The following is a 14,663-nucleotide window of genomic DNA, read 5'->3' on the forward strand; positions in this document are numbered from 1 at the left end:
GGCTGAATCTGAGTTGTTGCAACAGTAAACGAGCAAGATTTAAACTGGCCTTGTGTAGCACTTGCTATTTGGCTCCTCATATTTTATTAGACGCTTATTCTTTTTTGTTTGGTGTCATTCCTTTGAGAAATATTTGAGTGCCTTTTCTGTTGCAGACATTGATTAGATGCTGAGGTTGTAACAATGAAGAAGATAGCCATCGCTGTTGCCTCATGGAACTGAAGTTTTACTAGATGTAAAATTTGAGTTAACATGAGGCCGTGCCCCTATGTGCCCTATTGTTTCTTCACACAGCTCCCTTCATCTCCTTGGTCCAATGAAAAGGTTTTTTCATACTTGTTCATTCATTCCTGCATTAATTAAAGTAGGTTGTACTGTGCCAGGCACTGGGAATATTTAAGTAGTTGTGTTCCTGAATTGGAAATGAATCCAGCATGGTTGGAGTAGAAGGAGCTGGGGGGCAATGTGGAGTGTGATGGGGAGATTGGAAAAGTAAGCTGAGACCAGATTTTTCAGTTTGGAGGGAGAGGTGGGCCTTGTAGGCCATATTACAGATTGTAGACTTTATTTGGAGGGACATGGAAGTCATTGAGGAGTCTGAAGCAGGGGAATGACATAAAAAGATCCTCATTTTAGGCCGGATGTGGTGGCTCACGCCTGTAATCCCAGCACTTTGGGAGGTTGAAGTGGGTGGATTGCTTGAGGCCAAGAGTTTGAGACTAGCCTGGGCAACATGGTGAAACCCTGTCTCTATCAAAAATACAAAAATTAGCTGGGCATGGTGGCTCACACCTGTAGTCCCAGCTACTTGGGAGGCTGAGGCATGAGAATCGCTTGAACCCGGGAGGCAGAGATTGCAGTGAGCCGAGATTGTGCCACTGCATTCCAGCCTGGGTGACAGAGTGAGACTTCGTGTCAAAAAAAAAACAAAAAACCCCTCATTTTGAAAGGGAACCCTGGCTTGAGGGTGAAGAATGGGTGGGCACTAGGCTAGAGCAGCTGCAGGGTCAGTGAGGAGCTGCCGCAGTGCTGCACGTGAGAACCCGTCATGGTTTGGTCAGGGTGGGCAGGACTGACAGTGAGCACAGAGCGAAGTAAAACCAGCAAAATTTCATGATTGGATAGTGGAAGGAATCATGGTGTTTGTAGTCTTCAAATGTGAACCCAGAGTGCACTGGACAAGTAGTCTAGGCTGCTCTGTAACCAAGGCAAGTGTTTTCATTTTACCCTCTCTTCCTGCTCTTGGCCTTTGGATTTTTTGTAATTTAAGGTTTATGAATGTAATCAGTTACTTAACATGGAAAGATACTTAATACCAGATGATTTTGGAGTCTTGTGATCAATACCTTCTCTCAATCTTGGGTGTGTGTCAGTTGGCAAGGCCATAAAATTTGTTATAAACATTGCAGAAGGCTTGGTTACTGTGCTGTGACGTTGAATTTGGGTGGAGATAGATCAATTTCAGTTGATTTTCTAGGCTTCAGAAACACATTACCCTCTACTCCACAAACACAAATCAAAACAAAACAATCCCTATTCCCTGAGCATTTCTCTTGATCTATAACACAGCCTGGGCTGTCACAGTACTAAGACAAGCCCATCTGATTTGTGAGTCAGTTTTATTTCTTGGTCTTCTACATAAGCTAAAAAGTTTCAACATTTTAATGCTTTTCCTTGGATTCCTTTGAGTCATTGAAGTAATTCCTGTTTCATTTGTACTAATTATTCCACACTAGAAAATTCTGTTGTAATCACTTTATGTATTAATAGAAATACTGATTTTTATTTTCAAGGAAGTATTGAGTAGGGAGGGGGAAATAGGGATTTGCTGTTCAATGGGTATAGAGTTTCAGTAATACAAGACAAAAAACTTCAGAGATCTTCTATACAGCAGTGGGTATATAGTTAACAATACTGCACATCTAACAGTTTGTTAAGAGGGTAGATCTCATGTCATGTGTTTTTAAAAATTGCTTTTAAAAAAAGTATCGAGTAAAAAAGCAGTTTTACTCCTCAGTTTCTATTTATATTTAAAATTTTTATTTAAAAAGTGAGTTGAGATTTTTAAACCTCAGGATAAGTTTTATTTTTTAAAAAATTTATTTTTTATTATTTTTTGAGATGGAGTCTCACTCCATCTCAAGTCACCCAGGCTGGAGTGCAGTGGTGTCTTGGCTCACTGCGACCTCTATCTCCCAGGTTCAAGTGTTTCTGCTGCTTCAGCCTCCTGAGTAGCTGGGATTACAGGTCTGCACCACCACGCCTGGCTAATTTTTGTATTTTTAGTAGAGATGGGGTGTCACCATGTTGGCCAGGTTTGTCTTGAACTCCTAACCTCAAGTGACCACCTGCCTTGGCCTCTCAAAGTGCTGGGATTACAGGTATGAGCCACAGTGCCCGGCGGGATAAGTTTTAAAATAATATTCTCTGCTGGCTGGGCATGGTGGCTCATGCCTGTAAACCCAGCACTTTGGGAGGCTGAGGCAGGAGCATCACTCGAGGCCAAGAGTTTGAGACCAGTCTGGGCAACATAATGAGACCCCCTCTCTACAAAAAATAAAAAAAATTTGGCTGAGTGTGGCATGTTCCTGTAGCTATCGGGAGGCTGAGATGGGAGGATTGCTTGAGCCCAGGAGTTTGAGGCTGCAGTGAGCTATGATTGCACCACTGCGCTCTAGTCTGGGTGACAGTGTGAGACCCTGTCTCTTAAAAAAAAAAAAAAAAAAGGCCAGGCACAGTGGCTCAGGCCTGTAACCCCAGCACTTTGGGAGGCCGAGGCGGGTGGATCACTTGAGGCCAGGAATTTGAGACCAGGCTGGCCAACATGATGAAACCCCGTCTCTACTAAAAATACAAAAATAAGCTGGGTGTTGTGGTGCACACCTGTAATCCCAGCTACTTGGGAGGCTGAGGGAGAGAATTGCTTGAACCTGGGAGGCAGAGGCTACAGTGAGCCGAGATCACACCACTGCACTCCAGCCTGGGTGACAGAGCAAGACTCCATCTCAAAAACAACAACAACAAAAAAACCAAATGTTCTTGCCAATTCTTCCATTTAATATTTAATTTTGAATTATATTGTATCTTTCTAAGGATTGTTTCTTATATAAGCAAAGATTTTTCAGTGCTAAACATTTACGACTGCTATTCAGAAATGGTTATTTACAAGTCTTTTTGTTTTAAGAAAATGGCTGTTCAAAAAATTAAAATAGTATATAAACCAAACAAAATATTTTTGCTTTGGATGTCTGTTTTGCAGCTTCTTCCCTACACTATAAGTTCTTACTGACTGCTTTATCACTTAATAAATTGGTTTGGCTACTTTAACAGAGGCAAATAGTATCAGGCAAAAAATTATTTTTTATTTTTATTTTTTGAGACAGTCTCACTCCATCACCCAGGCTGCAGTGCAGTGGCCTGATCTTGGCTCACTGCAACCTCCACCTCCCAGGTTCAAGCGATTCTCATGCCTCAGCCTCCTGAGTAGCTGGAATTATAGGCATGCACCACCACACTCAGCTAATTTTTGTATTTTTAGTAGAGACAGGGTTTTGCCATGTTGACCAGGCTAGTCTTGAACTCCTGACCTCAAGTGATCCATCTGCTTTGGCCTCCCAAAGTGCTGGGATAACAGGCATGAGCCACCATGCCCAGCCCTATTTTTTATTTTTTAGAGATGGGTCTCGCTTTTTAGAGATGGGTCTTGTTGCCCAGGCCAGAGTGCAGTGGTGCGATCATAGCTTACTGCAGCCTTGAATTCCTGGGCTCAAGCAATTCTCCTGCCTCAGCCTCCCGAGTAGCTGGGACTACAGGCCTGTGCCACCAGGCCTGGCTTGTACATTAGTATTTGATATGGCTACCCTAAGGGCAATCCTATAGTGAAGTCAACATTAGATAATGATGCTCATCTGATGGATTAGATTTTCAGAGTTGGCTGTTTCCAGGTGCCTATAGGAGTAGAAAAGGGTGACAAACCTCCTAACTAGATGTCCTACCAAATATAGTTCACTCCACATCTGAGATGAGACTGCATGACTGCTGGTTTTCTTTGCCTTTTCCCCCCCAGGGTATCATCAGAACCAAAAATAAAGTTTTAAAGGTGGGTCAGGTGTGTGTTGGCTCATGCCTGTAATCCTAGCACTTTGGGAGGCTGAGGCAGGTGGATCATCTGAGCTCAGGAGTTCAAGACCAGCCTGGCTAATAACATGGTTAAGCCCCATCTCTACTAAAATACAAAAAGTTAGCTGGGCATGGTGGTGGGCACCTGTAATCCCAGCTACTCAGGAGGCTGAGGCATGAAAATCGCTTGAACCCCAGAGGCGGGGGTTGCAGTGAGCCGAGATCATGCCACTGCACACTAGCCTGAACAACAGAGCAAGGCTCTGTCTCCAAACAAACAAAAATGGTGCCAGAGTCTTTTCCAGGGCTGAGGGGAGATACAATGAAGTGTGTTATTTTTTCTGATAAGAGTGCTACCATCTTTCATTCTTGTGTGCCATTTCTAGTTGGGGTGAATTTGTTTTCGGAGTTCCTTTCCCAGCTGTTTGCCTGAAAAACCATGAAATGTGTTCCACATGAACTATGAAATGATTAGATGCTAATGTGGCAAAGAAAGTGTGAATTCTCTTGTAGAAACAGGGACATTTGGTTCGGTACAGTAAGTTGTTAATGCGTGACTCTGTGCTTTCAAATTCTGTGGTTCAAAAGTACTTTTCACTCCTACTGTGTATTTACCTTGAGAAGGTGAATCCCCTAACAATTTGGTCAATGTATCAGTATTCTCAACCCGTCTATCAATTTTTTTTTCTTTCTCCCTCTTTTTTCTTTTTTTGGGCAAAATACCTTTTTTGCTTTTTATCCCCTTAAAATAACCATTGTCCCTCACATGTGCACTCTTCCAAATTTCAGAAAAGCAAGAGGAAAGGGCACGAATATACAAATATTAAGTATTCTCTAGCGGACCAGACGAGTGGAGATCAGAGCCCTCTCCCGCCTTGTACTCCAACGCCACCCTGTGCAGAGTAAGTAGTGCTGAAGGAAATTCTTTTTACCTGGTCATGGTGGTTTAAAAAGGTTTAAAAAACAAAAACAAAAACAAAACACAAGTTTGTAGCACATGCCTTTCACTGGTGCACGTTCCTGTTGCCCTACTGTTAGTGTATCTGTGACTGGTGATATCTATTGATTGTGTTAATGCTATCTCAACCACGTTTTAATTTTCCTAAGCTGGCCAGGCACGGTGGCTAACGCCTGTAATCCCAGTGCTTTGGGAGGCCGAGGTTCATGGATTACTTTGAAGTCAGGAGTTCGAGACCAGCCTGGCCAACATGGTGAAACCCTGTCTCTACTAAAAATACAAAAATTAGCCGGGCATGGTGGCGCATGCCTGTAATCCCAGCTACTCAGGAGGCTGAGGCAGGAGAATCGCTTGAACCCAGGAAACGGATGTTGCAGTGAGCCGAGATCATGCCACTGCACTCCAGCCTGGGCGATAGAGTGAGCCTCTGTCTAAAAATAAAATAAAATAAAATAAATTCCTAAACTGAAGGCTGACTGCTATGCTAGCTAGGATTATATGGGATTTTAAGTATATCAAGTGGTGGTTCTCCAAGAAGAATCTAATTTTTCTTTTGATGGGCTGGGGATTGTAACAAAGGAAGGTCATATGTCTTAATGATGTGTTAAGGCTCTTTGCAAAATCAAAGTAAATAAATTGACCACTAATGTGTCAGCCCAGCCATGTTCTGCTCATTTGCCACCAGTCAACAGAAATCTACTTTGGGTGTTTAAACCAGGAGTCAGCAAACTACAGCTCACAAGGCCAGATGTGGGCCATGGCCTGTTACTGTATGGCCTGTTAATGGTTTTAAAGGGTTGTAAAACAAAAGAACACAAAACAAAGACCCAATAACAAAACAAAGCCCGAAGAATAATATGCGACAGAGACCATGTATGGCATATAGAGCCTAAAATACTGACTCTCAAGCCCTTCCCAGAAATCCTTCCCGACTCCTTGTTGAAAACACGGTAGGAAAGCATTTGTCAAATTGAGGATATGAATAGCAATTGTAAGTTATTATTTTTCTATATATTCGAAAGTCACTTGCTAGTATAACATTTACCTTTTATTTTTCCCTAAGAATCTTCTCTCTGTTTGCTTTCGACATGGATTTTTAAACCCCTGCAGATTTTAATATTCTATATAAATGTTTTAGGTGGCATATATGAGGTTTGTATTAACATTTGCTTTCTATTTAACATTGAAATGAAATTATACAGCAGAGGTATTTTCTCGTCCAAGTTGCCACTTCTTTCTATCTTTTTTCTTTTCTTTCCCAGTGGACTGCCTGGGAAAATTGATATTTTAAATTGCTCTCTGCAATAATTTGCAATGGAACTGGAATGCCAGGGTTCTGAGTCCTTGCCAGACAGCTCGTCCCTCCTGTTGGCATGACTGAGTCAGCTGTCATGATTCCCTCAGTACCAGTGGCATGCCTGTGACAGACAGCCTGTCTGCCTTTCATTCCCGTCGTCTCCCTTGTAGGGTTCAGATCCAGGATACACTGGTCCTGGAGCCCCTCTCAGCCTGGCACCCACAGCTGCTGGGTTCCTTACTCTCCTGGACTGCTCTGATGTCATCTCCCTGCTCAGCAGAAAGAAGTCTGGGATCTTGATGCTTTGGCCCTCTGTCCTAGGCCCTAAACCACCCATTGCCCTTCACATAACCTGAGCTGGGGCTAAATAGATCTCTCATCACTGCCTGCCTGCTCCTGTATTTTCCCTTCTTGGAGCTTTTGCCTGTTCAGATCCCTCTACTGGAAATTAATAGGATTTCATTCTATGTGTGCATTTCCAACCTTTCTTCACAGTGCGATCCAAATGCCTCATCCTACAGGCCTCCTTAAAACAACCTGCTTTCTGCCAGACCCCAGGGAGCACCAGGACTTGAGGCTTTTATTGCACTTCTGTTGTTTTTTTGAGATGGAGTCTCGCTCTGTCGCCCAGGCTGGAGTGCAGTGGCACGATCTCTGCTCACTGCAACCTCCATCTCCCGAGTTCAAGAGATTCTTCTGCCTCAGCCTCTCAAGCAGCTGGGACTACAGGCATGTGCCATGACACCCGGATAATTTTTGTATTTTTAGTAGAGACGGGGTTCACCATATTGGCCAGGCTGGTCTCAAACTCCTGACCTCGTGATCCACCCACCTGGGCCTCCCAAAGTTCTGGGATTACAGGCGTGAGCCACCATGCCCAGCGTTATTTCACTTCTGCCTCTGTAATTATATTGCTGTATGGCTATCTCTTCTCTCCCTGGGAATGTCAGGTCCTAGGCACAGGAACTGTGTCTGTACCATATCTGGTGCCCAAAGAATGTAGTATGTGTTTTATAGATATCATGTAAGCTTAAACAGCGTGGTCTACATTTTTGTAAATGTCTTTCTTTTTCTTTTCTCTCCAGAATGAGAGAAGACAGTGCTAGAGTCTATGAAAACGTGGGCCTGATGCAACAGCAGAAAAGTTTCAGATGAGAAAACCTGCCAAAACTTCAGCACAGAAATAGGTATTTAAATGCAAGTGCTCTATTGGTTAATTGTTTATATAATTGGCAGTATTTTTAAGCAGGCAAGCAATTTGGGAATGTTTTAGCAAAGTGTACCATAATTGAGTTTTACAAACCAGGCTCCTTTTTCCTCTCCCTGTACTTCTTTTTCCAAGATGGTTTTAGTTTAGAGTTCATTAAACATTAAAATCAAACACAGAATTAATTCTGCATGAGGCAAGGCTAGCACTTATTCCAGAGAAATGGCTGATACTGGTGGTAGAGTGCAGGTATCACTGTTCCTGCAATTTTTATTAGAGTTGGTTAGCCCAGGCTGTGCTGGGGGATGATCTGTAGGGATCTGGGAAGCATCGGGACTCAGCACTGGGTGGTTGGGAGTCAGGAAGCCTGAGTTCTCATTTCAGTCAGTCTCTGACCAACTGTGTGGCATGGGGTGCTAGACCACTTGGCTGCCGACTGGGTCACCGACATCCCTTCCAGCTCTGCTGCTGGAAATTCATCTCTCCCATATGTTGCCTCCCCATCAATTACGTTTTTTAAGTGTGACCCAAGTATATGATGTATGTTTTCATGATAAATTAGAAACTTATCTGGGCATGGTGGCTCATACCTGTAATCCCAGCACTTTGGGAGGCTGAGGTGGGCGGATCACCTGAGGTCAGGAGTTCGAGACCAGCCTGACCAACTAAAATAGTAGAGACCAACCCGTCTCTACTAAAAATAGAAAATTAGCTGAGCATGGTGGTGCATGCCTATAATCCCAGCTACTCAGGAGGCTGAGGCAGGAGAGGCAGCGGTTGCAGTGTGCCAAGATCGCGCCATTGCACTCCACCTGGGCCACAAGAGTGAAACTCCATCTCAAAAAAAAAAAAAAAAAAAAAAAAACTCAGTGTCAGTATTTCATGTCGAAATTCCACTTCAATGGGTAGTGTAGTTAAAAGCTCTAAGTCTACCTTAAAATCACCTAATGCTTTGTTAAGCTTTTAGATATATGTTCCTTAAAAACTCTTAACTTATTTCTTCCCCAGATGTGGACTTTCACCCTCTCCCTAAAAAGATCAAGAACAGACGCAAGAAAGTTTATGTGAAGACAGAATTTGGATTTGGAAGGCTTGCAATGTGGTTGACTACCTTTTGATAAGCAAAATTTGAAACCATTTAAAGACCACTGTATTTTAACTCAACAATACCTGCTTCCCAATTACTCATTTCCTCAGATAAGAAGAAATCATCTCTACAATGTAGACAACATTATATTTTATAGAATTTGTTTGAAATTGAGGAAGCAGTTAAATTGTGCGCTGTATTTTGCAGATTATGGGGATTCAAATTCTAGTAATAGGCTTTTTTATTTTTATTTTTATACCCTTAACCAGTTTAATTTTTTTTTTCCTCATTGTTGGGGATGATGAGAAGAAATGATTTGGGAAAATTAAGTAACAACGACCTAGAAAAGTGAGAACAATCTCATTTACCATCATGTATCCAGTAGTGGATAATTCATTTTGATGGCTTCTATTTTTGGCCAAATGAGAATTAAGCCAGTGCCTGAGACTGTCAGAAGTTGACCTTTGCACTGGCATTAAAGAGTCATAGAAAAAGAATCATGGATATTTATGAATTAAGGTAAGAGGTGTGGCTTTTTTTTTTTTCTTTTTTCCAGCCGTTGACCAATTATAGTTCGGCTGTTGACTGAGAAGTTTGTGGTGGGAAAACGTTTGCCATATTTTCTTTGCATTTGAATAATTGTCTTGTACTTAGAAAAAAGGCGTCTATGAATGACCAGTGTTTTTGGTCGCCAAATGTTGCTGACAAACTTATCCCAAAACTTTAGTGGCTTAAAAAAACCTGCCCCCAACTGTTAGTCAATCTGAGCTGGGCTCAGCTGGGCTGTTCTTCTGCCAGCCTGCAGGTGGCCACTCATGTGGTCAGCAGGTCGGCGGAGAGACTGGGATGGCTGGGCTTCTCTCTCTGCCTGCAGTCCTGAGTCTCTCCTTCTTCGTGTAGTCTCTTTCAGTGGCCTGGCTGGCAGGGTAGCTAGACCTCTCACATGCAGCTCAGAGCTCCCAAGAGCTCAAAAGCAGAAATGGCCAGGCCTTCTGAAAACTTAAGTCCAGAATTGTCACAGTGTCCCTTCTACTTCCCTCTATTGATGATGATGATGATGATGATGATGATGATGATGATGATGATGATGGTTTTTTCTAATCAGAAGAAAGCTGGGGTATGCCCTCTACTTACTAAACAAGTCACAAGCCCAGCTCAGATTCAAGAAAAGGGTGTGAAGTAGAGGTGCAGTTAAGTGGGGGGCCACTAGTCTAACAGACGGTCACAACCAGTGCCATGGAAAACCAAGGATATTAGCAAAAGCAGAAGTTGCTAGTGACCTTGGGAAGCCGAAGCTGCTTACAGTAGCTGGGACAAGCTGAAAGTCAGACTAAGAAATAAAGAGAGGGCCTTCAAGAAGCTTCCTGAATGATTTCTGCTAGCCCTGAGCCTATTTTTGGAACCAGCACTTGGGGAAACTGATCTTGTGAGGATGGATGTGTTTAGGGACACAGGGCTTTTGAGAGCAGCACCACCCCACTGGGGCATCCCCAGACTTGGGAAACGTGACTCTTTCTTAATGCCACTGGGTTTTAGTCAGGCCACAGTGAGAAGGAACAGCCCTAACAGGCCTCCAGCCAGGTTGAATGAGCTCATTTTTGTTGTAGCCAACCAGTAAGATTTGCTAATGTTCTACATTAAGTGCCTTCTCCAAAGACATCCCTCTTTGCCTCATATGTTGAATCATCCAGTGCGGATATTTCAATGAAAATATCATTGGTTGACTTTTGTGATGGTAATAATGCTATGGCATCTTTGCCATGAAGTTGTGGCCTCCTTGGATTCTTCTGACTTTGGCTTCTGAAAGGAAGGCCTAGATCCAGCCCTGGTGGTAGTTCCTTTCTGAGGTCTCTCAGTCCCTTGAGACTTTGGGGTAGTTTGGCTGCCATTCTCACTGACAAAATGTATATCAGCCCCCACCTCCACCCCCCAATATTCCTTGAACTTTGAATTGCTTCAGAACACAGGTGTGGCCTGAAGGTATTCCCTTATTAGGGAAGTGTCACTGCTGTCTTCTAGTCAAACTTGTAAAGAAAAAGATTCCAGTTCAGTATTTGCAGCAAGAAGCTTGAATGCTGTTCTTTTTATCGCATTGTTACATCGACTCATTCTCCATTTTGCTTTGGTTTTGTCTTGACTTGACTTGACTTTGGGGGTAAAGTCTTTCACCAGCACACAAGAGTTTGATTGTACAAATATATCTTCTGCATTAACATCTCTGCCTGTTGCTTAAGATCAGTTGCTTTTATACTCAGAATGGAAATACCTGATCTTGGCTAGTTTTGTTATAAGATATTGATTTCATTTAGATTTCCCTCCACGAGGTCAGCAAACTATCATGTTCTTATGTAAACTTAGGCCAAGGCCAGAGTTATCATAGTCCCTAGGTTGCTACGGCTTATCATGTGCTTGGTAAAAGGTGATCGCAGGTTCTCAGACGAGTTTACTTTACATGAGATGGAATCAGGCAGAGAGGCTGGGATGATGGAGAAAGCTCGAGGTGAAGTTTTAAAAAAAAAGTTGTGGAAAGGAAAGTTCCAAAGAGGTGGTTTCTGAGGAAGTCAGAGCGCCCAGGGCCAGAGCAGTCAGTAATGGGTGAATGAGGTTGTTTGGAAAGTCGGTGTGACAGACACATGGATGCCATCTACTTCTAGGTTGCTGGTGGGTATTAAATATGCACAATATTCCATAGCTCACTGAGGATTTTAAAATTATAAGCATAGGATTTTATATTTTGGGGTGAAAGAATTATCTGGCACATTAGGTATTGGAGTTTAAAAAAAAAGCCAAATTTCACAGTCTTAATAACTTTTTTTAAAAAAAACTAAAAGGCGCTTCATGTCCAGTGTGTGGCCCTTCTGAAACTTATGGTCATCTCTCCCACTGAAACCAAGGTCTTTTCAAATGTGGCTAAATGGGGATGAGGAGACACGGGTAGGACTTTCTTGGTGTGTGTGCATTCTTTAAAGAGCCAAGTTGCTTCGGGGAAACAGCCAGGAAAATGGTCAAGATTATTTTTAGAGGTTATTTTATTGGGGATTTTAAGAACTAATAACATCTTGAGTTATTTTTAATTCAGGGGGATGTGGAAAGGTTTGCAATTGTCAAGTGTTTTGTTGTAGCTTAGTATCCATAAGGGAAACTTAGACTATAGACATAACTACAAAGCCAGTGCAGCTTTTGTTTTCTGTATGTTGTTGGGGGATCAACTTTCACACATAGCAAGCACATGGCCTCCCTGATGTCAGGATGCCTTTGTTAGGATCTGTATTTGCCCTTAATTTTGTTGAAATCTTTTTTCCTTCTTCCTCTTGAAAAGTTCCAAAATATAGTTTATTGTATCTTTCATCACTAAAAATTTGTTCCTTTTTCACTATGGGCAGTTCACACAAGGCAAAAACTATTGAACAGTTGGTTTTAGTGTGTTGTATAACTTTGCTGTATATCAAACTAATTTTGACAAGTTTTCATCCTAAGCCTCAAATCATGTAATTAATAATTTGCCTGTTTATTTATGACCTAATTGTGATTCTTTTATTAATAAAAGCTAATGGGAAAAGGATCCCTGATTAAGCTGATGACTAGACCTACAATTAATTTTCCTGCAGTATATGAAGTATTGTACCAGAGTATTAAAAGATATGTAATATTTTATTGATAAATCTATCCTTTAAAAGGAATACGTTTTAGGATGTCATCATTTTGATGTGAATCATGTAAATGTTGATAATATGCTGTTTATTATACATTTAGTGTTTCAAGAGATTCACTTAATTGCCTTTTTGCCCACGTATATTATGTAGTCTATTTGCAACTGTTCTTAAAAAAATGACATTAAAAGAATAGTTTATGTAGAGAAACATTAGTGGATGTTAATTGTCTCCCCACCTATATTTATGGGTGTTAGCGCAACTGCTTTGCTAGTTGCAAAGCTGTATTATCAGAGTAAAAGTGTATTTGTAAACTGTATGGGAACTAAAAATTAGGAATAAAACCATTTTCTTATATGATGGCATTTGTCGTTTGCTTCATCAGAAATGTCCAGGAAAAAAATGGGATTATTGGTCACTCCACCTCTCACACTGGCAAAATACTGACATTTAGCAGCTCTTATCTAGAAGTGACTTGGAACATAGAATAAAGGCATGAGTTCCTGAAGAATTCATTGAGTGTTTCCTGTAGAAATAGCTTTAGGAGATAGGGAGTTCTATCTGGGAGAACATATGAGTAACTCAAGAGTAAAAAGTATAGTCTGTGTAAACTATAGAAGAAATGCTGGGCATGGTGGCGCGCCCCTGTAATCTCAGCTACTTGGAGGCTGAGACGGGAGGATTCCTTGAACCCAGGAGCCCAGGAGTTTTAGACCAGTCTGGGTAACATAGTGAGACCCTTTCTCACCTACTCTCACTGCATGCCCCCCAAAAATATATATGTGCGCGCACGCGCGCGCACACACACATACACACACACACACACACACACACACACAGAGGAAATTGTTAGAAAACACACAGAACTGAATGTAAATAGTATTAGGTGGGAATAAGAAGTAAAGGGATGGTAAGGAGGCTTGGAGGAGGAGTAAATTATCTGCTATGGGACATCAGCTCTTCCTTTAGAGTAGGTTTAGGTCACATACCAACAGGGCCACTTTGTTCTGACAACAGTGTGCACTGACATGGGCAGAAAGAAACCATTTTATAGATAGCAAAACAGGTGGTTATTCTTTATTAGAAATATAAGGAATGATTTGGATTACTTATTTACACTGTAAAATACTATGACCCCCCTCTCAGTCTCATTTGAATTGTTTAATGCATCTAATCAAATCTAGCTGGTTTAGTTTGTTAGTCCTGTCACCTGTCCATTCAGAAATACAGAGCATGGGCCAGGCACAGTGACTCATGCCTGTAATCCCAGCACTTTGGGAAGCCAAGACGGGCGGATCACTTGAGGCCAGGGGTTCGATACCAGCCTGGCCGACATGGCGAAACCCCGCCTCTATTAAAGATACTAAAATTAGTTGGCCATGGTGGCGCATGCTTGTAATCCCAGCTACTCGGGAGGCTGAGGCATGAGACTTGCTTGAGCCCAGGAGGTGGAGGTTGCAGTGAGCCAAAATTGCGCCACTGCACTCTAGCCCTCTAGCCTAGGCGACAGAGTGAGACTCTCTCTCAAAAGAATAAATAAATAAAAATAACAGAGCACCTTCAAAATACTAGGCACTACACCTGTGCCCTGGGGAGGAACGCTGCCCGAAACAACCTGATAGGGTGCCTGTCTACCAGGGAGCTAGGCCTTGCACCGTCAGAAGGCAGTTCCTGAAGCTGCCCAGAGCCAAGACAAAAGACAGAAGTGAGACGACTAGTTCCAAACAAGATAAGAGCCATGAAGAGGGGCTAAGAGTGTGTATCGCACCGGAGGATTACTACGGGGTTTTCAAACCATGGTACTGTTTGGTGATTACCCTTGGGTTTCAGAAGAGGTGCTGTACACAATATTGCTTGGAGACACCTCATTCCACATAATCCTTCTTGAGGTCCTGGATTGCATGTTAGAGGGCAGTGACAATATCTTGTCCTTGGCCATGCCATGAAATGACCTTCTGTTTGTGTAGTTCCTACTCACAAGAAGAGTTCCCAAGAAAATGAGTACATTAAAGGCAGAGCCGGAATCCCTGCAATAAATCCTGCGGACAGAGATGAGGAATTATTCAACGTGGTCACCTTGTGAATGAAAAAGCTTCTGGTGTGAGGGTCTACTGTTGGCTCATATGACATGTATGCTTTCATCCACCTCTTCTCTTCGCCTCTACGAGGGGGTAGCAAAAAGGGGACTGTGATCTCAAGTGAATGGTTTGATTTTGCAGGTGCTGTTATTTTTCCCCTAGGAACTAGCTAAGTTTCCAAACACTGAATTTGCAAATGGGATGAGCCAGAAATAGAGATTTGCTATTTTGTCAGTGGTGACAGTTACCAGTGAGCTGGTAATATTC

The 14,663-nt window shown here is 42.3% G+C and overlaps 1 protein-coding gene across 4 annotated transcripts in view; it reads left to right on the top strand.

Moving 5' to 3' along the window:
• PTPN11 (protein tyrosine phosphatase non-receptor type 11) overlaps positions 1–12,683 on the top strand; it is a 90,972-nt gene extending 78,289 nt beyond the window's left edge. For all 4 annotated transcript variants that reach the window (NM_001330437.2, NM_002834.5, XM_011538613.3 and 1 more), the window contains exons 14-16: positions 4,909–5,021; positions 7,460–7,561; positions 8,590–12,683. In NM_001330437.2, the coding sequence (NP_001317366.1) occupies positions 4,909–5,021; positions 7,460–7,529 (183 nt within the window). In that variant the 3' untranslated portion in view covers positions 7,530–7,561; positions 8,590–12,683. The remainder of the gene's footprint in view (positions 1–4,908; positions 5,022–7,459; positions 7,562–8,589) is intronic.

Source organism: Homo sapiens, chromosome 12, assembly GCF_000001405.40.
Source record: "Homo sapiens chromosome 12, GRCh38.p14 Primary Assembly".
NCBI lineage: Eukaryota > Metazoa > Chordata > Mammalia > Primates > Hominidae > Homo > Homo sapiens.